The 25,614-nt window shown below is 36.9% G+C and overlaps 1 protein-coding gene and 1 pseudogene across 37 annotated transcripts in view, besides 1 other annotated feature; both read right to left on the bottom strand.

Moving 5' to 3' along the window:
• The window catches only part of CCDC91 (coiled-coil domain containing 91), a 359,711-nt gene that overhangs the window by 30,217 nt on the left and 303,880 nt on the right, over window positions 1-25,614 (bottom strand). The window lies entirely within an intron of this gene.
• RNA5SP355 (RNA, 5S ribosomal pseudogene 355) lies at window positions 14,467-14,556 on the bottom strand (annotated as a pseudogene).
• Window positions 14,760-14,929: an enhancer, noted in NCBI's record as "experimental_27646 CRE fragment used in MPRA reporter constructs". NCBI's record gives its function as "activates a minimal promoter by MPRAs in K562 erythroleukemia cells, with activity observed for both the introgressed and non-introgressed 12:28658039 variant alleles {active_cell/tissue: K562}" and the evidence as "EXISTENCE:reporter gene assay evidence [ECO:0000049][PMID:34662402]".

The following is a 25,614-nucleotide window of genomic DNA, read 5'->3' as shown; positions in this document are numbered from 1 at the left end:
GTGGCACATCATATACACCATGGAATACTATGCAGCCATAAAAAAGGAAGAGTTCATGTCCTTTGTTGGGACATGGATGAAGCTGGTATCCATCATTCTCAGCAAACTATCGCAAGGACAGAAAACCAAACACCACATGTTCTCACTCATAGGTGGGATTTGAACAATGAGAACACTTGGACACAGGAAGGGGAACATCACACACCGGGGCCTGTTGTGGGGTGGGGGGAGGGGGGAGGGATAGCATTAGGAGATATACCTAATGTAAATGATGAGTTAATGGGTGCAGCACACCAACATGGCACATGTATACATATGTAACAAACCTGCACGTTGTGCACGTGTACCCTAGAACTTGAAGTATAATAATAAAAAAAAGAAAAAAAAAAGAAAAGAGAAAGATACAAAGAGCATCCAAATTGGTAAAGAGGAAGTTACACTGTCACTGTTTGCTGATGACCTGTTTACCTAGAAAACCCTAAAGACTCCTCCAGACAGCTTCTAGAACTGACAAAAGTCAACAGTTTCCAGATCCAAAATTAACATACACAAACCAGTAGCTCTTCTGTACACCAAGTGACCAAGCTGAGAATCAAATCACGTACTCAACCCCTTTTATAATAGCTGCAAACAAAACAAAACAAAACAAAACAAACAAACAACTTAGCAATATACCTAACTAAGGAGGTGAAAGACCTCTGCAAGGAAAACTAGAAAACACTGTTGAAAGAAATCATAGACTACACAAACAAATGGAAATACATTCCATGCGCATGGATGGACAGAATCAATATTGTGAAAATGATCATACTGCCAAAAGCAATCTACAAATTCAATGCAATTCCTATCAAAATACCACCAACATTCTTCACAGAATTAGAAAAAAAACTATCCCCAAATTCATATGGAACCAAAAAAGAGCCTGTATAGCCAAAGCAAGACTAAGCAAAAACAAAATAGAGAGCCCAGAAATAAATCCAAATACTTATAGCCAACTGATCTTCGACAAAGCAAACAAAAATATGAAGTGGGGAAAAGACGCCCTATTCAACAAATGGTGCTGGGATAATTGGCAAGCTACACATAGGAGAATGAAACTGGATCCTTATCTCTCACCTTATACAAATATCAACTCAAGATGGATCAAGGACTTAAACCTAAGACCTGAAACTATAAAAATTCTAGAAGATAACATTGGAAAAAGCCTTCTAGACATTAGCTTAAGCAAGGATTTCATGACCAAGAACCCAAAAACAAATGCAATAAAAACAAAGATAAATAACTGGGACTTAATTAAACTAAAGAGCTTTTGCACAGCAAAAGAAACAGTCAGCAAAATAAACAGACAACCCACAGAGTGGGAGAAAATCTTCACAATCTATACATCTGACAAAGGACTAATATCCAGAATGTACCACCAACTCAAAAAAATTAGTAAGAAAAAAACAAAGAATCCCATCAAAAAGTGGGCTAAGGACTTTACACAATTATCAAAAGAATGAATACACAATTATCAAAAGAACATAAACAAATGGCCAACAAACATATGAAAAAATGCTCAACATCACTAATGATCAGGGAAATGCAAATCAAAATCACAATGCAATACCACTTTACTACTGCAACAATGGCCATAAGAAATTTAAAAAAAAATAGATGTCTGCATGGATGTGGTGAACAGAGAACACTTCTACACTGCTAGTGAGAATGTAAACTAGTACAACCACTATGGAAAACAGTGTGGAGATTCCTTAAAGAACTAAAAGTACAACTACCATTTGATCCAGCAATCCCACTACTGGGTATCTACCCAGAGAAAAATAAGTCATCATATGAAAAGATACTTGCACACACATGTTTATAGCAGCACAATTCACAATTGCAAAAAGGTGGAAGCCATCAGGAACCCATCAATCAATGAGTAGATAAAGAAACCGTGGTCTACATACACGATAGAATACTACTCAGCCATAAAAATGAATAAATTAATGGCATTCACAGCAATCTGAATCGGACCAGAGACTATTATTCTAAGTGAAGTAACTCAGGAATGGAAAACCAAATATCATATGTTGTCACTCATAAGTGGGAGCTAAGCTGTGAGGATGTGAGGGCATAAAAATGACACAGTGGACTTTCGGGACTCAGGGGGAAAGGGTGGGAAGGAGGTGAGGAATAAAAGACTACAAATTGGGTGCAGTGTATACTGCTTGGGTGATGGGTGCACCAAAATCTCACAAATCACCACTAAAGGAGTTAAGCATGAAACCAAATATCACCCAAATCTCACAAATCACCACTGAAGAACTTACTCATGTAACCAAATACCACCTGCTCCCCAATAATCTATGGAAATGAATAAAATAAAAACAAATAAAACTCTATTGTGTGAATATGTGCCATGGAATATTGAACAAAAACACAGCCTCAAATTTGACAACATTGTTTAGTAGCTTAAAGGGCAGTTAAAAGAGAAGATTGTTTACAGAAGTACCCATACAGAATGATATGCCATTATACTTAACAAAACAGAAAAGTCAGTCTGTTCAAACGTGTTGCAAGTTAACATTTAGGGCTTGGACTCTCACTAATAAGGCCCTTGGGAAAATATAAACACCACTTCTGAATTCAGATCTCAGGCTTGCCCACCACATTCTTGTTTTCAGTTCAAGCTTTTGGCACTTCAGCCTATAACTAAGGCCTTGCAACAGATGCCAAACTAAACATTTGGGAAAAACAATTATAATGACATCCTTTTTTGTTTAAGTAATTTAAAAGCATATAACATGAAGTAAAACAAAGAAAAACTAGGATGAGGAAATAGATTAGCACAGCCTTTGGAGCACAGGAGAAGGAGAGATATGAATTTGATTACAGACATTAGTGAAATATAAAAACATAAAATTACTGAATGTATAGGGTATTGACACAACAAAGATTCACTCAAATTTACTTTTCACATCTCTATTTCTGGCTAGTTTGCATGACTGACTAGTGGGCATCTGCTGTGGTTTGAATATCCCCTCCAAAAGTCAAGTTGAAATCTAACTGCCATTGTAAGAGTATTTAGAGGTGAGAACTTTAAGAGGTGATTATCATGAGGGCTCTGCCCTTGTGAAGGGATAACTAATGTCATTACTGAGGTAGTAGGGTTGACATGTCAGGGGGGTTCCTTATAAAAGAATGAGTTCAGCCCCCTTCTCTATTTCTTGCCCTCTCATCTTCTGCCATGGGAGGATGCAGCAAGAAGGCCTTCACCAAATGCCAGCACCTTGACCTGAACTTCCTCACCAATAGAACTGTGAGACTGTGAGAAAATAAATTTCTTTTTCTTTCTTTCTTTTTTAAGACAGGGTCTCATTCTGTCACCCAGGCTGGAGTACAGTGGCACAATCTTGGCTCACTGAAACCTCTGACTCTCAGGGCTCAAGCAATCTTTCTACCTCAGCCTATCGAGTAGCTGGGACTGCAAATGCATGCCACTATGCCCAACTAATGTTTGTATTTTTTGTAGAGATGTGGTTTTGCCATGTTGACCAGGCTAGTCTTGAATTCCTGGGCTCAAGCAATCTGCCCACCTCAGCCTCCCAAAGTGCTGGGATTAGGCATGAGCTATTACACTCAGCCTAGAAAATAAATTTCTGTTCATTACAAATTACTCAGTCTTAGGTATTCTGATATAGCAGCACAAAACAGACCAAGACAGTATCCTAATGAAACCCCAACAGATTGATTTTTTTTAAAATCATTAACTTTTTCAGGTAAAGTCTGCCTCACTCTTCAAGAAGAGGAAAATAACTGTCTGCTCTTGAAGGCTTTTATATTAAACTTGTCTGAGCACATTACTGATGATGTAGAAAACATTTTGACATGTTTAGCATGAAATGCTTCAATGTCAGAAGACTATTCTCTTCTTAAAATGCCAGATTGCTCTTGTAATACTTCTGTGAACTTATTAAAAGGACATACTAACTAACCCCTTTCAATTAGTCTTTGTAATATATGTTCTTTATGGCAAGAAAGTAGTTCCCTTTGAGGGGATAGTAGTGACTGGAAGGAGTGGATGGGGAGGTGAGGGTCCGGGATGTTGGTAATATTCTGCTTCTTGGCCTGGGTCCTTGTTACACAGGTGTGCTTCCTTCATGAAAATTCATTGAGGAAAAAAATAACATAGAATCTATGTTAAACGAAACTGAGTTTTTATAAAAGTAAGCTTCTGAGTAGATGCAGCCTCAGATATTATAATTTTTGTTGATAGTTAAAACATATTAATGGGTTATTATTGATAATCAGCATTACTAAATAAAAAGAATGATTCTGCATTTATGAAACAACAGCTTGTTTAAGATTATCACTTATCACTCTCCTATGTATTTTCTAAACAAGAATGTTTTCTTTTCTTAAGTTTAAATCCACTGAATTTATTTTACAAATAGTCTACATTGAATTAAAGAGTTAACTAAAGAGTTAGCAAAAAGGGCATAAGATCAATTAGGGAAATACCAACAGGGCTACATTATTAAAATATTCTAGAAATCCCAATCTATTCTCTTGAGGCCATTTTACAAGATCCAAGGGAGAATACATGGATATGTGAAACAGGGAGAAGGTCACATTTCACAAAACCAATAATAGGAGGTACCTCAACAAAATGAAAGCTTTAGCTAATGGGGAAAAAAGTCCTCTTCTCCAGTCATTTTTAGCCTTTCAAAAATTTTTCCCTGCCGAAGTCCCCCATAAGAAATAAGAAAACAGCAATCTTAGAAACCACTGGTTTTGAGATCTGGAGTACTGGTGGTACAGTTGGGGGAAAAAAAACACAAATGATTTCTTTTTTTCTTGGGGGTGGGGAAGAAAGGAGTTTGGGTAGAGTATTTGACCTATCTACAGACTGTAAATTAGACCCTCCATTTTCACCACTTTCTTTTTTTAAAAAAGTTGAGGGGTCTATGTGCATATTTGTTACATAGGTCAACTTTTGTCATGGGGGTTTGTTGTACAGAGTATTTCATCACCCAGGTATTAAACCTAGTATCCATTAGTCATTTTTCCTGATCCTCTCCCTCTTCCCACCCTCTACCCTCTAGTAGGTCACAGCATCTGTTGTTCCAAAGAAACAGAATAGAGAGCCCAGAAATAAAGCCTCACACCTACAACCATCTGATCTTTGGCAAAGCTGACAAAAACAAGCAATGGGGAAAGAACTCCCTATTTGATAAATGGTGCTAGGATAACTGGCTAGTCATATGGAGAAGACTGAAACTGGACCCCTTCCTTATGCCATATACAAAAATCAACTCAAGATGCATTAAAGACTTAAATGTAAAACTCAAAACTTTAAAAACCCTGGAAGATAACCTAGGCAATACCATTCTGGACATACGAATGGACAAAGATTTCATGACGAAGTCACCAAAAGCAATTACAACCAAAGCAAAAATTGACAAATGGGATTAAATTAAACTAAAACAAAACAAAAAACAAACAAAAAAAAAAACTAAAGAGGTTCTGCACAGCAAAAGAAACTACCAGTAAACAGACAACCTACAGAATGGAAGAAAATTTTCACAAACTATGCATCTGACAAAGGTCTAATATCTAGCATCCATAAGAAATTTAAACAAATTTACAAGAGAAAAACAACTCCATTAAAAAATGTGCAAAGAACATTAACAGACACTTTTCAAAAGAAGACATACATGTGGCCAACAGACGTATGAAGAAAAGCCCAGTATTACTGATCATTAGAGAAATGCAAATCAAAACCACAATGAGATACTGTCTCACACCAGTCATAATAGCTATTATTTAAAAGTCAAAAAATTACAGATGCTGGCAAGGTTGAGGAGAAAAGGGAATGCTTATACACTGCTGATGGCAGTGTAAGTTAGTTCAACCATTGTGGAAAGAAGTGGGCAATTCCTCAAAGAGCTAAAAACAGAATTACCATTTAACCCAGAAATCCCATTGCTAGGTATACACTCAAAGGAAAATGAATCATTCTATCATAAAGACACATGCATGCATATGTCCACTGCTGTGCTATTCACAATAGCAAAGACATGGAGTCAACCTAAATGCCCATCAATAACAGACTGGATAAAGAAAATGTGGTACATATACACCCTGGAATACTATGTAGACATAAGAAGAACACGATCATGCTCTTTGGAGGAACATGAATGGAGCTGGAAGCCATTATCTTTAACAAACTAATACAGGATTAGAAAATCAAATACAAATGTTTTCTTAATGCTTAATCAAGAGAGTGATACAATTAAGGGTCAGTTTATCTGCTTTTCTTACTTTCATGCATATGAGTACAATTAGCACTCTCTCTGAAAGAGAACACAGGTTGAGTATCCCTCTTGGGACCAGAAGTGTTTCGAATTTTGGATTTTTTTGATTTTGGAATATTTGCATTATAACTACCAGCTGAGGATCCCAAATCCAAAAATCCTAAATGCAAAATATCCCCATGAGGATTCTCTTTGAGCAACATATGTCAGTGCTCAAAAAGTTTTTACTTAAAGCATTCTGGACTTCAAATTTTCAGATTGGGGATTCTCAACTTGTATACAATTCCCTCTAAAAAAATGACAGTAAAAACTTTTATTGAACACTTATAATGTGCCATGTGTTAGGCATTGAGCTAAGCAGTTTACATGCCCACTACCACTTACTCTTTAAAGAATCAGGATATTTCCTGCTGAGAAATACCAGCAATATTATGAATACTCAATAACATTAGCTATTATTATGATGTAGCTGCATCGGATTTCCCTTCTTTTATAGTTTGCATGTTCTTTTGTTTATTCAAGCAATAGCTGAGGATCTATGACTTGCCAGGCAGGGTTCTGAACAATTTAGCAATCTTAATCCTGTCCTGTTTCTGCCAAGCATACCTTTGAGGGAGTCCTGGAAGATTTACATCTAGGAAAAGCTTTGCTAACAGTTTTGAATATCTTTTAATTTTACAGCATAGCTGAGACTTAAAGAAGTACAGCATGAGGGAGGAAAGGCCATATAATATAAGGACCTTTTCTGCATTTTGACATACTTAACTAATCAGTTCTCTATAAATGAGATTTATTTCCTAACCAATGACCATTCTGTGGCATCGAATCCCTTCCGTACCATACAACTTGGCATTTATTGATTCAGTAATTGCTTCGTGTTTTAACAAGCAACCCAATTAGTTCATAAACCCTATCGGAATGGAGGTCATGCTTTATACACCAGGGGCTGGCAAACTTTTGTAGAGGAAGAGAGAGAACATATTTCAGGCTTAGTAGGCCATATGGTCACCATCACAACTACTCAACTCTGCTGTTGTTGCATGTAAAAGCAGCCATAAATAATACGTAAATAAATGGGTGAAGCTGTGTTTCAACAGAACTTTATTTAAGAAAACACCGGGCAAACTGGATTTGGCCCATTCGCCATGTTTTGCTGACCCCTGCTTTATCCCACAATACGTCTTACTGTGCTAGATAGATAGCTGGCCTTAGTAAATATGTCTTGCTTGAAAGAGTCAATGGCATTGAAAAAGAAAATATAGAAAACAGGAAAATTGGAATGCACTTATTTCTGTCCTAAATCAGACTCCACATGAGCTACAGAGAATATTCTTCATGCTGATTTAAGGTGTTTTTCCCTTGGGAAAAGGGGAAAAAAAACTGATGAAAAAGTAATATTGATGGAGAAGCTTAAACTTTGGTGCTTGGCATGGTACTTTTTCCCTTGCAAATACAAAAAAGACATTTGTACACAAGGTAGGAAAATACACTGGAAAAAAGAACCTATTCGCAGAGGAATGCACCATAGAAACCCAAATATGAGTGTTCCGAGTAGGCAAAAGTGGTTGGAATTTTAAAAATGAGATTTTTTAAAAATAAGATGAACACAAGATGGTAAGTCCCAAAATCCATCTAGTCATATACATGTGTGTTTTTAATGAGATTCAGAGCCATTTCCATAAAATGAAAGAACAGAGTTAATTTACTTCATTGAAAACATGAAAAGTCCTAGAGTATCCTAGAACTGAGAGCCTTTTATTATTTTCTCATGGCTGATAATCATGCTCATCTGCCAGCAACAAGCAAAGCTCCCGGTTATGGTGGAAACAGAAGCCTGCCAGCCGCATAAAATGACAGCAAAGGACCACATCATTTTTTTTCCAACACAAAATTGACATATGAGTGCGCAGACACAGTGCAGAAGCTCCTTCATAAAACAAAGTACAAAACAAGTACAGCTTTTCCTCAGACTCTGCTGAAAAGAACAAGTATTTTGGCAAGAGGAATCCTTGCTGTGACCTCCATTCTCATTCAATCGGCAAATATTTAATGAGTGCCTACAAACTATCCAGCACCTTTGCTTATACTGGAACCACATGGCTCTTTTAAGGCCCCTCATTCTTCTTGAGGGGAAAACAGACGACCACCATTTGAAATAGTAAATAGGATAATTACAGTTACTGATAAGTGCTAGGAAAAAAAATAATGCATTGGTGGTACAACATGCCAGGTGCAGGGAGGATAATATGCAGTTATTTTGGCCTAAATTGGCCATAAATGGCTTTTCTGAAGAGGTGACATTTGGAAAACCTTTGGAAGATTTCATGTATGGGAATGCCGTGATCTGATTTATGCTCTGGGAATTTAGCTGCTGTATGGAAAATGTACTGTAGTAGGGTGGGAGTGGGTGAAAGAGTGAAAGCGAGTAGTCCTAGTAAAGATAATGGTAGCTTGGTCTTGTGACACAGTAGTGGAGATGGTGATAAGTGACATAGTTGAGAGATATTCTGAAGACAGATTTGACCTGGTGAAAGTTCATAGTGACTTGGGCTACAGGGGATACAGTGAAGAAAGGTGGTAAGCTGATGAACTTAGAATTATTATGAAGTACACATGTCGACCTTTTCAGAAGACTTTATGTGAGCTTTGAAGAAAGGATAACTTCTAGGATTTTGGTTTGTGCAGCTGGTGCCATTTATTGAGAAAAGAAAGTCTTGTGAAGGAGCAAATGTGGCAGGTGATGGGTGGTGGAAATCAAGAATTCTGTTTTGAACATGCTAAGACTTTCTTCCCAGCCCATGTCCAAAACTATTCTTAAGAGAGGAATTTGGATGTTATGTTCCTCCAGCTAAAAAAATTATCTCATAGCTCTTTATATTATTCAAAAGATTAAATACAAGACAGAGGTTCAATAAATACATGATAAATGAATTTATGCAAAAAATCATTATCTGCGGTGGTTAATTTTATGTATCTACTAAACTGAGATACTGATATTTGGCTAAAGATTATTCTGGGCGTGTCTGTAAGGGTGTTTATAAATGAGATTAACATTTACATCAGTAGACTGAGTAAAGCAGACTGCCTGCCCTAATGTGGTGGCCTCATCTAATTGATTGAAGACCTGACTAAAACAAAAAGACTGAGTACGAAGGAACTCCTGTCTGACACTGATCTTTTCTGGTCTTAGGAATGAAACTAAAACATAAGCCCTTATTTGATTTCAATCTTCCAGCTTTTAGTCTGGAATTTACACCATCAGTTCTCCTGCTTCTCAGGCCTTTGGAACCACTTATCAGCTCTCCTGGGTTTCCAGCTTATTGACTACAGATCTTAGGACTTCTCAGCCTCCAGAATCATGACAGCCAGTCCTTTATGATAAATCTCTTTCTACACACACACACACACACACATGCCCTATTGACTCTGTCTCTCTGGAGAATCCTAATATACCAACTATTTTTCAAAGTCTAATTATTTGAAAATAATTTCATGTTAGGTAAGAAGCATGAAAGACTTTCAGGGAAACTCTTTTATTTCAATTTATTATCAAAAACCAGCTTCTCCATCCTTTGCAATTTCAAGATTCAGCCCTTGGTGTCTCTACTCCCTTCTACATGGGTACCCCTACTTGCCTGATAATCATACTCTCAAGAAAGAAGAGTTCAAGGATGATAACTGATGCATTACTAGAGCATGCAAAACTATTACCAGTTCAGAAATAGGAGGTGAGTTCTTGGATCAAGAGATATGGATTTCATATCTATGGGAAAATAATATTCCCTTACCAAACATTTTGGACTAGAAATAGTCTTTACACATGAGTCTACTATATTAATACCCACTTGTAATAAATAGAAATTTTATGTTTCCTTCTTCTCCCCACTCTCTTGTTCCCATAATCATCAGCGCTGAAGAGCAATACAAATATTTTCATTCGAATAGTACCTAGCTGGCTATCACACATATCTTTTAATACAGTGTGCAGCCTATATATGGCTCTTTAAATACAATGTATATTTAATTATACAATGATTACAGAGAATTATTTTTAAAGATAACTTTAAAAAATGATATAAATAAAACCCTTTAAGTCACTCATGTTTTCATCCAGAAATAAGCTCTATTAAACTGTTGATGTGTATTATACTCCTACCTAGAGACTAGCATTTCCCTTTTGTTTAAACATAATAAATAATACTCAGTCTTTCATGATGACACATGCAATTCCACTACTACCACCCCTATCCTGCCACCAAGATCTACCTTGCACCTCCTCATTTGGATCCCAGACCAATGCCATGAATCAAGTTGCATCATAATCCAGCTTAGAAAGGCAGTATATATCAAATGAACTGTAGGACCTAGCCAACATGTATCCACAGGAGGCAGGAGACTACGTATGAGAGAGTGCTAGATCAAGAGGAGACAGAACCTGTGTTTGCATAATGGAGAGATTATTGATATGGGAACATTCTCTCACAGGATTTAGCACCCCAGAAAGACTACATGAGAGGATGCTAAGACACAACTACGGTGGTTCCTGGAAGCATACAGAAAGCAGTCCACATTACGTGAAATAGAAATGCCATAACTGCTATGGCAGATAGAAGTCTTATCACAGACTATACAACTAGAAGTTACTGGCCTAACAGAATGATGGAATGGCCTATTGAAGGCAGAGCTAAGACTTCACCTTGGAGATCATATCCTGTAATCCACTCTCTAGGTCACAGAATACACTGTATATCAATAACCATTAAATAGAGCTATGTTTCCTATGTTTCCCAGAAGTACAATTTATGGGTTCAGGAACCGAGGGGTAGAAATAAGAGTGGCCCTACTTACTTATCGCCATTCTTAATAACTGACTCAGATAATATGTGCTTCTCACCCTTGCAAACTCTGGGCTTTAGAGGTACTGACTCTTGGAGGGGGAATGCTTCCACGAGAGGAAACAGTAGAATGAGTTTCATTACACTTTTAGCTACTACTGTCACCTGGTCACTTCAGGCTCCACATGTCAAGAACGCTATACAGGGAAATAAAGCAAAGGTAATTGATCCTGATCAATAAAAGGAGGTAGGGCTGTTACACAATCGGATAAAGTAAAATTATGATTGGCATCCAAGTGATCCAGTAGGGTATCTCTTGGAACTCCCTTGCCTAATTTTGACTGTAAATAGACAAGCACAGCAGTCATAGCCATAATACAGCACCCAGGGCCTTATAGGTCCCATGGATACAGGTCTGTGCTATCCCATCAGGTAAACCCCTAGAACAAGAGTTCAACCAAGCATAAGAGGAGTCCAGAAAAAAGAACAGAGAAGGGAGATGAGAATCAGTTGGCTCCTGAGAACAGCTGTAGCAGGAGTTACAGCTTTTCCCACTAACTTTTCTCTTTTAAGTCTCCCCAGAAAAGACCAGAGAAACTAACAGGATCATAGAGGAGCTGTTACAAGAACTTATTATATAGAGGAAGTGGATCTGAGTGTACAAAACATGGCCTGTGGCGCACTACTCAGAGCCTGCCTTCAGGACTAATGTACTAATTTCTCCAGCTGCTGGAAGTAGTGGTTTGTGGTACTCAGTTGAGTCCCTCTCCAACAACTGCTACCTTGGCCAAGGTCACGCCCTCTTCCTGAGAGCCTCCCCCAACCAATCAACGGTCAGTGTATGGGTACAAAAGATCAGTCCCCTTTCCCCAAGGTGATTCAACCCTGAAGGGCCATCCCAGCTCCAGAGCTCCTTAAGGGATCAGCTGAAGCCCTTGTGCAACTATATTTTGCCTGATCCTACACTTCCTCCACCCCGATAGGTGCTGAACTTCAGGGCATTCCCTAATGAATTTTTTGCACATGAATCTCTATCACAGAGCCCTTTTTGAAGGCATCTGACCTAAGGCAAACTGGTAAGACTGTACTAGTACCTAGTATCAGCTGATTATTAAATCTGGATACAGCACAGTAAAAGACATTAACTCCTAGAGCTGGAAGGAATTAGGAAGAACATCCTGTTCAATGGTAAACAGTGTTTTCTCCAAAGATGAATTTAGAAAAATGGCAAGGGTAGGGAGGAAAGGAAGAAAAGACAACTGACAAATATTCAGAATAGTTTGTATAAATCCCTTGGACAAATATCTTTATAACAGAATACTTACTTTAGTGATTAGAAGAATGTCATTGAGAAAACTGGCAGTGATTTTGAAGTCAGCTGTTTTGATTGTAACAACTAGGGGGTGGCTACTACTGGCATCTATTGGGTGGTGGCCACCAAATGCTGCTACAGATGGGACAGTGACTGTAGAGCCCCCACAACAAAGAATTATCTGGTCCAAAATGTCAATTATGCCAAGGTTACAAAAGTGTGGTTTAGAGGTTAGCAGCCACATTATGCTCATTATCTCATTTCATTCTTGGGATTACTAAGATTGTTTAGCATCTCCAGATGGCAATAACTATGTAACTGGAGAACACTGGAAGTTTTTTACCCCCTTAATCTCTTCTCTATAAACCAAGAAACATACAAGCCTATTTATAAAGCTTGATTTGCAGGCTCAAGACTGTGCTTCACTAAGATATTCAAATCATTCACTGTATTAAGAAATTAAATCATGAATTTGCATCAGAGAAAAATTATCTGCACATATATGAATTCTGCATTTACACAACTTTTATTCCCAAAGCTTGATTCCCATAAAGAATGTCTACGTTTTATGTGACTACTGGTAGATTTGATCTATCTACATACCATGTTTTTTATCGTTTTGGTTTTGTCTTTTTTTTTTTTTACCCCTGAAGGACAGATTCAGTAAATATTATCATCAATGCTAATACACAGCTCTGTCAAGAGAAGTATGGCTTTTATGAGTGTTCTCTCTGAAGTTCTGATTCTGCCACTTTCTAGTGGTGTGACCTTGCACAAGCTATCTAACCTTTCTCAAAGCTTTAGTTTTCTTACCTGTAAAATGAGGATTATAACAGGATCTGAACTACTAGCCCTGTTATAAGCATTAAATGAGATAATGCACATGAATCACAGTGACTGGTAAACCATACACAATGAATAAATAGTGGCTGTGTTAAACATTTGTTGCTTTTTAGCTTCCAGCATTTATTTCTCCTTCCTAATGACAATTTGAATTCCATTGGGGAATTAATTCTTACTCACTGGACTGTAACTAGGAATCCTGCCTTTCACTAGCAAAGAGGCAAGCATGTGACCCAAACTAGTTCAATTAGATGCTTCCTCCTTGGAATTTACATAGTCAGTGGAGAAACAAAGATGCAGGAATGGTTAGTTTTGTTCATTCCTAGTAATGGTGCCCTGGCCAGTTTATTTTTCATTATGAGAGCACTGTTAAGGCTGCTGCTGCCTCTGAGTTTCCAAAGATGTCTTGCTTCTTTACCCATTACCAAGTCTGGTATACAGCTTCCTATCATGCCTCTGATAACCTTTCAACAAATTCCCTTTTCCTAAAGTTAGTCTGATTCAGTTTCTATTGCTTGCAATTAAAGGACCCTATAGATACAGAGTAGCTATGTATCACATTCACATCAAACATTTAAACTGTTTAACTAAAGTAAATACAAATAAGACTTAGTAATTTGTCTCTGCTTCCAGAAATATGTGTAATCATTAATTTGCTTTTTGATTTTAGCCCTAATACACATCCACATACAGTGAAATCTACATAGGAATTGAAACACTGTTTACCTAAAGGAAATTTTCCTGTGGCGCAAAGGTGCTGTTTAAGCAGTCATCTCTGTTTGCTCTCCGTTGGAGCACTTCTTGGTAGGACTTCAAGAAATACAAGGCAAATGAAAAGAAACTGAATGTCTGACTGATGTTTGATTGCCTGAGTCCACAATTCTATAGGCTCACCTGAGATCTTAAATAAGAATCTTTTCAGATACAGAAGCTTTCATTATTTTTGGCTTCACTTCTGTGTCTTGGATGTGGTTGCTCTTTGGGGTATAGCTGTGGGTCAAGACTCTGTGTGGTAAATCTGAATCTGCAATTCCTGGCATCAGGATCATTAGGAGAGGAGTGCAGCAGTAGTAACTGCATGTTTCTTAAACAAGGAAAGAAATGAATAATCACTTTGGGTTTTGCTTTACAGATGCTTTAACTTCATTTTTTAATGTGGAAAGATGAAACTCAATTCTCTCCCATCCAAGTACTAACCAGGCCCGACCCTCCTTAGCTTCCGAGATCAGACGAGATCGGGAGCGTTCAGGGTGGTATGGCCGTAGACGAAACTCAATTCTCTGAGTTACTGTAGCATTCGATTCGCAGAATAACTCTTTCAAGGACATGGAATATTATGCCTCTCTCCGGTAGGTAGCAATAAGAAGAAGCCAGTAAGATGGGATTTCAGTGCAGGGTACAAAAATCTTTTCTTTCCCATCACTTCATATACAAAATTCAGCGTTCCATTAGTTTTCCCGCATCCCAAATTAGAAAAAAGGCAAATAGTAATGATTCTTTGAGCAGGGAAATTTGGAAAAACTAAAAAGAAGGGCAAAGATTTTCTGGTCCTTGCTGAATAATTCTGCCAAATATTTTGGCAAACTATTTATTAAAAAACATAAGGTGAAAATTAGTTCATTCCGCAGATACTACAATGGGTAACCATTGTTATTTTCAGTACTATTGGAAATAGCTTTTAGAGTTTGAAGTGTATAGTTTAGGTTTTTCTGTAAGTGCCACTACTGATCTGTCATTTTTGTTGCAAGTTTCTAAAACTGAAATGACAACTCCAAAAGAATTTCTACAGGTAAATTTATAACTACAGAGAAACTGTTCTACTAAACTTCACTTAAGTCAGTTAGCTGCCAGACACGGCATTTTTTTCTTGGTCTATAATATAAGTGAAACAGATGCGTAAGAATATTTTAAGTGACATAAGCATGCCTACATACGTAGCTTGTGAAAGAAAGAAGCAAACATAAGGAGCCATGTAGACTTTGAAGTGTAAGAGTAAAAGTAAGGATACCAGTTAGGAGGCTCTTGTAGAAATCAGGCAAAACATAATAGCTTGGACAGTGGTGACAGCAAGAGTTGATAAGAGTTCACAGCAATATATATCAGATTCTGAATATATATTGAAGATAGATTTCACTATGTATTGGATATGAGGGAAGTGGAGACAGAAGTCATTTTTAAAATTTTAGCTTAGAAATTACTATGCTGGGAAGTGTTCTCTGATCCATTAGAGCTTGGTTAATTCCCATTTCAGGGTCCTGGTATATGGCCAGTATATAAATATTCAACAAATATTTGTTAATGAATGAATAGAATAAATAAAATCTGTGCAACAGAACTCAAAACTCTTGTCAATAAAAGTATTGGGAAACATTTTCTTGGTATAGGATTGTACAAAAACTTTCTTCTTACTAGAGTGCTTTTTTTTTGAAACTTTTTTAATATTCAAAGATTGATTACAAATTTCATTAAATTCCCTTCCATTTAAACTGTAATTACAAATTTAATATGATTCTTTTGAATATACTTATTTTTTTTTGGAGTTGGAGTCTTTTTTAAATTAATTTATTTTATTATTTTTACACTTTAAGTTTTAGGGTACATGTGCACAATGTGCAGGTTAGTTACATATGTATACATGTGCCATGCTGGTGTGCTGTACCCATTAACTCATCATTTAGCATTAGGTATATCTCCGAATGCTATCCCTCCCCCCTTCCCCCACCCCACAACAGTCCCCAGAGTGTGATGTTCCTCTTCCTGTGTCCATGTGTTCTCATTGTTCAATTCCTACCTATGAGTGAGAACATGTGGTGTTTGGTTTTTTGTCCTTGTGATAGTTTACTGAGAATGATGATTTCCAATTTCATCCATGTCCCTACAAAGGACATGAACTCATCATTTTTTATGGCTGCATAGTATTCCATGGTGTATATGTGCCACATTTTCTTATTCCAGTCTATCATTGTTGGACATTTGGGTTGGTTCCAAGTCTTTGCTACTGTGAATAGTGCTGCAATAAACATACGTGTGCATGTGTCTTTATAGCAGTATGATTTGTAGTCCTTTGGGTATATACCCAGTGATGGGATTGCTGGGTCAAATGGTAATTCTAGTTCTAGATCCCTGAGGAATCGCCACACTCACTTCCACAATGGTTGAACTAGTTTACAGTCCCACCAACAGTGTAAAAGTGTTCCTATTTCTCCACATCCTCTCCAGCACCTGTTGCTTCCTGACTTTTTAATGATCGCCATTCTAACTGGTGTGAGGTGGTATCTCATTGTGGTTTTGATTTGCATTTCTCTGATGGCCAGTGATGGTGAGCATTTTTTCATGTGTTTTTTGGCTGCATAAATGTCTTCTTTTGAGAAGTGACTGTTCATGTCCTTCGCCCACTTTTTGATGGGGTTGTTTGTTTTTTTTCTTGTAAATTTGTTGGAGTTCATTGTAGATTCTGGATATTAGCCCTTTGTCAGATTAGTAGGTTGCGAAAATTTTCTCCCATTTTATAGGTTGCCTGTTCATTCTGATGGTAGTTTCTTTTGCTGTGCAGAAGCTCTTTAGTTTAATTAGATCCCATCTGTCAATTTTGGCTTTTGTTGCCATTGCTTTTGGTGTTTTAAATATGAAGTCCTTGCCCATGCCTATGTCCTGAATGGTATTGCCTAGGTTTTCTTCTAGGGTTTTTATGGTTTTAGGTCTAACGTTTAAGTCTTTAATCCATCTTGAATTAATTTTTGTATAAGGTGTAAGGAAGGGATCCAGTTTCAGCTTTCTACATATGGCTAGCCAGTTTTCCCAGCACCATTTATTAAATATGGAATCCTTTCCCCATTGCTTGTTTTTCTCAGGTTTGTCAAAGATCAGATAGTTGTAGATATGCAGCGTTATTTCTGAGGGCTCTGTTCTGTTCCATTGATCTATATCTCTGTTTTGGTACCAGTACCATGCTGTTTTGGTTATTGTAGCCTTGTAGTATAGTTTGAAGTCAGGTAGCATGATGCCTCCAGCTTTGTTCTTTTGGCTTAGGATTGACTTGGCAATGTGGGCTCTTTTTTGGTTCCATATGAACTTTAAAGTAGTTTTTTCCAATTCTGTGAAGAAAGTCATTGGTAGCTTGATGGGGATGGCATTGAATCTATAAATTACCTTGGGCAGTATGGCCATTTTCACGATATTGATTCTTCCTACCCATGAGCATGGAATGTTGTTCCATTTGTTTGTATCCTCTTTTATTTCATTGAGCAGTGCTTTGTAGTTCTCCTTGAAGAGGTCCTTCACATCCCTTGTAAGTTGGATTCCTAGGTACTTTATTCTCTTTGAAGAAATTGTGAATGGGAGTTCACTCATGATTTGGCTCTCTGTTTGTCTGTTATTGGTGTATAAGAATGCTTGTGATTTTTGTACATTGATTTTGTATCCTGAGACTTTGCTGAAGTTGCTTATCAGCTTAAGGAGACTTTGGGCTGAGACAATGGGGTTTTCTAGATATACAATCATGAGCTGGTTTTTTGAAAGGATCAACAGAATTGATAGACCGCTAGCAAGACTAATAAAGAAGAAAAGAGAGAAGAATCAAATAGACGCAATAAAAAATGATAAAGGGGATATCACCACCAATCCCACAGAAATACAAACTACCATCAGAGAATACTACAAACAACTATATGCAAATAAACTAGAAAATCTAAAAGAAATGGATAAATTCCTCGACACATACACCCTCCCAAGACTAAACCAGGAAGAAGTTGAATCTCTGAATAGACCAATAACAGGCTCTGAAATTGTGGCAATAATCAATAGCTTACCAACCAAAAAGAGTCCAGGACCAGATGGATTCACAGCCGAATTCTACCAGAGGTACAAGGAGGAACTGGTACCATTCCTTCTGAAACTATTCCAATCAATAGAAAAGAGGGAATCCTCCCTAACTCATTTTATGAGGCCAGCATCGTCCTGATACCAAAGCCAGGCAGAGACACAACCAAAAAAGAGAATTTTAGACCAATATCCTTGATGAACATTGATGCAAAAATCCTCAATAAAATACTGGCAAACTGAATCCAGCAGCACATCAAAAAGCTTATCCACCATGATCAAGTGGGCTTCATCCCTGGGATGCAAGGCTGGTTCAATATACGCAAAGCAATAAATGTAATCCAGCATTTAAACAGAACCAAAGACAAAAACCACATGATTATGTCAATAGATGCAGTAAAGGCCTTTGACAAAATTCAACAACCCTTCATGCTAAAAACTCTCAATAAATTAGGTATTGATGGGACGTATCTCAAAATAATAAGAGCTATCTATGACAAACCCACAGCCAATATCATACTGAATGGGCAAAAACTGGAAGCATTCCCTTTGAAAACTGGCACAAGACATGGATGCCCTCTCTCACCACTCCTGTTCAACATAGTGTTGGAAGTTCTGGCCAGGGCAATTAGACAGGAGAAGGAAATAAAGGGTATTCAATTAGGAAAAGAGGAAATCAAATTGTCCCTGTTTGCTGATGACTAGAGTGCTTCTTATAGAATTGGTGCTACATCACCATTTGTATAAAACAATTTATAATCACTTGTATTTTACTATGAACCACTATAGTTAAATAATAGTGTATTCTTCAGCAAATGGTGGTAACTCTTGAATGACTATATAAAGGGCATCTAATAGCCTTACACATTTAAAAAAATTGAAGAACCTGAAGTATATATGAGAATTTCTATGACTTGTTTCATTTGAAATGAAAGATTTGCCAGATCATACACTTATCAGACTCTAACAGATTGAGTATAAAAATAAAATTATGGCTTCAGAGATAATAGGGGGAGGGCAGGGAACATTCCAAGTGCTGACTGTTGATAATGCAGTTCAAATATCTATGGAATACATCTATTCTGAGAATCTTTTAAGTTTTTACTTGGTTTTATACAGTAAATACATACTCTAAGACATAGTTCTTGAAATAGCTAAACTGACCAAAGTTAATAGGTAGATAAATTTTCATTAGACTCAAAACTTGGTAACGGTATCTATTTATTTAGCTATTTGCCAATACCTTCTGTGGTGCTATGTATGAGCCTAGTGAGAAATGACTCATATCTTATCATTAAACTATTTATTTTTGGCAGAAGCCTTGAAGCAAAGAAGATGATGTATCTAAAGTAAGCAGGATCCTCAATGAAAAATGAGGTGCCCCTAGAAGAAAACCTAGGCAATACCATTCAGGACATAGGCATGGACAAAGACTTCATGACTAAAACACTAAAAGCAATGGCAACAAAAGCAAAAATTGACAAATGGGATCTAATTAAACTAAAGAGCTTCTGCACAGCAAAAGAAACTATCATCAGAATGAACAGGCAACCTACAGAATGGGAGAAAATTTTTGCAATCTATCCATCTGACAAAGGGCTAATATCCAGAATCTACAAAGAACTTAAACAAATTTACAAGAAAAAAAAAAAACCCCATCAAAAAGTGGGCGAAGGATACGAACAGACACTTCTCAAAAGAAGACATTTATGTAGTCAACAAATATATGGAAAAAAGCTCATCATCACTGGTCATTAGAGAAATGGAAATCAAAACCACAATGAGATACCATCTCATGCCAGTTAGAATGGCGATCATTAAAAAGTCAGGAAACAACAGATGCTGGAGAGGATGTGGAGAAACAGGAACGCTTTTACACTGTTGGTGGTAGTATAAATTAGTTCAACCATTGTGGAAGACAGTGTGGCGATTCCTCAAGAATCTAGAACTAAAGATAGCATTTGACCCAGCAATCCCATTACTGGGTATATACCCAAAGGATTATAAATCATTCTACTATAAAGACACATGCACACATATGTTGACTGCAGCACTATTCACAATAGCAAAGACTTGGAACCAACCCAAATGCCCATCATTGATAGACTGGATAAAGAAAATGTGGCACATATACACCATGGAATACTATGCAACCATAAAAAAGGATGAGTTCATGTCCTTTGCAGGGACATGGATGAAGCTGGAAACCATTATTCTCACAAGAACAGAAAACCAAATACTGCATGTTCTCACTCATAAGTGGGAGTTGAACAATGAGAACACATGGACACAGGGAGGGGAACATCATACATCTGGGCCTGTAAGGGAGTGGGGGGTAGGGGAAGGATAGCATTAGGAGAAATACCTAATATAGATGACAGGTTGATGGGTGCAGCAAACCACTATGGCACATGTATACCTATGAAACAAACCTGCACATTCTGCACATGTACCCCAGAACTTAAAGTATAATAATAATAATAATAAAAGTGAGGTGCCATATATTCCAAGTGAAAACTCTTTGCATTACTGTTAATAACTGTATCTGCTTAGAAGGGAATTAAATGTATACTACTTAACCAACAGAAGTTGCTCAGGCTCAGGGTGGTTTTACGTTTGTGAATTTACTACATTCAAGGATTGATTTTTCAGCTATGCAGGTACAGATTTATCAAAATACCAGGCATAGATCTTTTTCTTAAGAGAAGACTTGAAATAACTCAAGTTCATAAAACTGACCATAAAAGCTTCCCCTATGCTAGAAACAAATCACAATCAGAAAGCTGCTTAGTGAGCAAGGAATTTGAACAAACAGAGTTAGATTAGATAAATGTTTAATGGCATTCCTTCATTAAGCAACATTTCATTAAACATCTGTTATGTTTCAGGCTTATTCTAGATACTGAGAATACAGCAGTGAACAAAACAAATGAGGTCTTTTCTCTTTTAGAGCTTATATTTTATAGTAGGGGGAAAAGATAATTAACAAGAATTTTTGTCTGTTTTATTTACTGATATATCCCTAGCACTTAAGAGTGCTACCTAGCATATATTAGGTATTTGATGGTATTTGTTCACTGAATGAATAGTGAATGATAAAAACATGAACATAATTTCAAAGAGTTTTATGCACTAAGAAGAAAAAATAGAGTAGTGATACTATAAAGTAAGGTTGGTAGGAGAGAAGATAGCTAATTTATACTGGGTGGTATGGTAGATTAAATAATTATTGATCAAATATTTAGCCATTCTTTTTCCTCACCTCTGTGGGAGAAATAGGCTTTTTCACCTATTGATGTTGAGTTTGACTGTGTGACATGCTTTGGCTTCATGGTATATGGAATGTACGTCCCTGCTTCTTGACCTTGGACTTGACCATATAACTTGCTTTGGAGATATCAGCAGATAAGGCATAATCAGAAGCTTGCAATGTTTACCTGTTTGGGCTTTCTCTCTTGCACTCTGCTCTTGACATGAGAAGAACATGCCTTGTTCACAGTTTTCTGTGCCCATCACAGTTTCCTTTTGAGTACTGGAAATTCTGTTCAAGTGGCTTAATTTCTTTCACTAAATTCAAGGGCTTTCATTTTTGAATATGTATGCTATTTTCAATAACCTCTCTACTGATGTGTGAGTCATAAATATAAAAGGAGTGAATGAATCACATTGTACACTGGTGGAGGAAGTGAAAGAGATTTTTACTAACTATGATTATATAATGATGCAGAAAGGTATATGTAAAGTTGTTCTTGTTGTTCTTAACAGGATTCTTAAGTAACTTAACCTGTAAAACCAACTAAGAGCAGAAGGAGAGGGCATGTTTGTTTAGTTCCATGGCTAAGCTCCACCCCAGACAAGATATTTTCATTTTCAACACATGATACATAAGGAAAGGGAAATGTGAACCACAGGAATGGAGTAAATATTGAGGACAAAAGCAAAGGGTTGAATACATTATAGTCACACTAAAGCTTAAACGAATAAGTACTCTAAACTACAAAGGAAATACTAAGCCATAAAGTTATTTTAAATGTCATATATCCCCACAGATGAATAAAAAGTATACATTTAAATTTTTGTAAAATGGCAAAGAAGATATGATTAATATGCTCCTAGTACAAGGTATTAATCACATTATACATGCAAAAATTAATAAAAAACCATAGTGAAAAGAATAGTGGGACTATTTTATGACTCAATCTCAATGTACGCTGCTGGATATACAGCTTATCCTGGAATATTTTACTTCAAATCAGATGTTCATAAAATCATCCACATTGGAAAAAAAGTCATCTGGAAAAGATTCAAATGGGTTGGTGGAATCTAACTTTGCAATTTAGTAGTATAATGTCCCGAGCCACAACCTTCTCTAACAACCAGAACATCAAAGATGTGATAAGAACCTGTGAAAACAGATACCAAAAAACCTGTATACTTATTACAAAGTTAAGATGGAAATTTCTCCTTGTTCAAGCTTAACATGTGTGACTTAATTTGATACAGTACTCTGCTGTCTAGTTTCTCATTATTTTCTTCAGTTTTATACTTACAATCAGAGTTGAAAAATAGCAGAGGCCATGGATAACAGGTTCAATAGCAAGAAAATGGGGAGAAGGAGAGAAGAAACAGATTAATTGATTAGAGGGACACATAAATACAGAGAACAGATGATGCCAAGGACTCAAGAAACAATGGAAATCTCATCTAGATGAATTTAGTAGAAAGAAATTTAAGCTCTTTTTTTAGTAAACTTGGTGGCCATCATTCTATGAAAAAAGTACTATAACTAACATATATGAAATATCCCTGAGTAATCAGGGGGAAACACTGTTGATTAACACAATGATAAGTTTAATCACTAAAATTTACAAAAAATCCTACATATATATATATATATATGTATATATATATGTATATATATACCTTATATATGTGTGTATATATACCTTATATCTACATATATACATATATATATATACCTTAAGAACTATTTTTAGTACAACTACATAGAACCCAGAACCTAATCTATCCAAAGTATTGCATATCCTTTGAACAGTGTTGTATAACTTAGGCATTAACTGTAGAAAATCTCAGATTACTTGAAAAAGAATATTATGGTGGCCAAGCTGCAAACTTTCTACAAAATGATGAACCTAGCAATTGCTAATGTTCTGTTCTAGAAAGAATGAAACCCACCTAGTTTAACTTCAAAGGATCAGTTTTAGAATTAGCCAAAAGACTAAAAAGCTGGAAAAATATTTCTTCAGTAACCACAGCAACTTGGGAGACTTTACTAAAGAATGTAGTGGCCATTTGTAATGTTTTCTGATTTTTGATATCCTCCCTATGTTTAAAAAATTTCCAGCCTTATGAGGTATGATTCCCCTGCATAAAACCCAAGAAAACTCAGTTATCTAGCCTGCTCTGCTCCTATGGCTCCACTAACCAGAGTCAAATGTGCGAGACTTTGATTCATAAGTGAGGAATTAGAGGTCTCTGTATAGCATCTATTTTGCTCGTGACGATGATAATAGAAGTATCCAAATTTGGGGGATGGAAATGATTGAACTATGCAATAGTTTATCCTAGTGCTTGATGGGAATGTGCAGCAAAGAGTGGTTTATCTTTAGCCAGTTTTGCAGTGTAGTTTTTGCTATTGTTCATAGAAGCTTAACCTTGGTTTTCCAGCCCTCTAGCAACTTGGCTGCTTACCTAATATCGTTTTAATAAACTCCTCTGCTGCTTAGTCAGATGAAAGCAGCTTCTGTTATTTAAAAGAAGAACCCTGGTTGATATGTAAATTGGTTCTAGAAGTGGTTGAAGACAATATAACCTCAGGAAAATCGGAAAGATTTTAGTTACCTGGTTCTGTAAGGGTCGATGGCTGTAAAGATTCAGCTGGTATTCTTTAAAAAAATGTAAAATCTGGTAGTTCATAGTGTGCAGCAGCAAACTAACAAATTATTAACTATAGCCACTTGAAATAAAGTGACCACTGAAGGCAAGACTTTCAGTGGCCCAACATTTGGATACTTCTATTACCAGATCCAGGGGCTATGGACATGGAAAAATATGAAGAGCATGAGGAATTCAAAAACAAAATTAGTTGATCCTAATTTCACACAACAGCTTCAAAAAGATAATTAAAGTCTCACGATGCTAAATTCTCAATTCAAGCAATAATCAAGGCCACCAATTGCTCTGTAACATTGCTCCTCGAAAGGTAAAAGTCAGTGTCTGTGAACAACAGTGTCTGCCTTCTGTAGGCTACGAATGCTGGTGGGCTACGTGGCTTCCAATGTTATGGGACGCTGAGGTAGCAAAACTCAAGTAGATACACCTAATTACAAGAAGCAGGAGGAAATGGTTACTGTTACTGCTAGCATGGTTGAGTTGTAATCAGAATGCTCTGACCTGCAGGGACATCAGCTTTGGGTACTTGATCAGATGAATCATATGAACAAAACTGATAGGCATCCAAAAAAGTCCAACTTAAAATTATAAAAATATCCAGACTTAATGAACAAAGGTCTGACATGAGTTACTACAACAAAAATTTGTAATGTCTTCCCCAATGTCCAGTCCTGAGTCAATTCACATGCCCACGGTTTTTTGAGTGAAGAGGAGATTGCCCATCCTTGAAAACGTCTATCGCAATAATATCACAGATAGAGACTGTAAATCCTCAGTTTGGCCTTCCTCATCAAGGTAGCTATACTGGAGAAAGGGAAATATCAGGTCTTTTGTGTATCATTGTATAGTAACTCTGAACCAACACTAAAACTGAAGACCTAGAAGACCACGTTGTACTACTGGTCAGAATGGATGCTTATCAGAATCAAATGGTGAATGAAGTTTCCATCTGAATCTGTCTCATATCCAGCCCAACTGGGCCTTAAACACATAATATAGTTATCTCCAGAGTATGCAGTAGACATTGGAGGAAGTGATTTATAAGAGACCTAATCAGACAGTGATTTCAAATGCAGCTGCTGTTGTAGATGTGCATTTAAAAATGTACATCTAGAGCTCTTAGGACCAGGTATACAACTATTCATCTGGCAAATGCTTTTTCCCTGTATCTCAATACACAGAGAACACCTATAACAGCTGTGTTTATATGACAGGTACAATAGTAAACCATTTCATCTTAGGGTTATATAAATTATTTGGCTCTGTACTACAATATATTTCACAAAGATCATTAGTGTCTCACCATCACGTATGACAACTACATTGATGACATATGTGTCCAGAACCTAGAAAGCAGGAAGTAATAAGTGAAAGTATACCTATGAATCCAGTAAGGTGTAAGATATAGCACATGAAAATATAAGAACTATACCTCAGTAAAATTTCTGGAGGTCCAGTGATCTTGCATATACCAGGATAGGCTTTACAAAGTTAAAGGCAACTTAATGCACCTTGTACCTCCTGCTACTAAGAAAGAGACACATTGCTAGGTGGAACTCTTTGTGGTATTTATACATTAGTTTGGGAATCCTGC

This window comes from Homo sapiens, chromosome 12 (genome assembly GCF_000001405.40).
Source record: "Homo sapiens chromosome 12, GRCh38.p14 Primary Assembly".
In the NCBI taxonomy this organism is placed as follows: domain Eukaryota; kingdom Metazoa; phylum Chordata; class Mammalia; order Primates; family Hominidae; genus Homo; species Homo sapiens.
The sequence above is the reverse complement of the archived record's forward strand: the minus strand, read 5'-3'. Positions and strand labels throughout refer to the sequence as shown.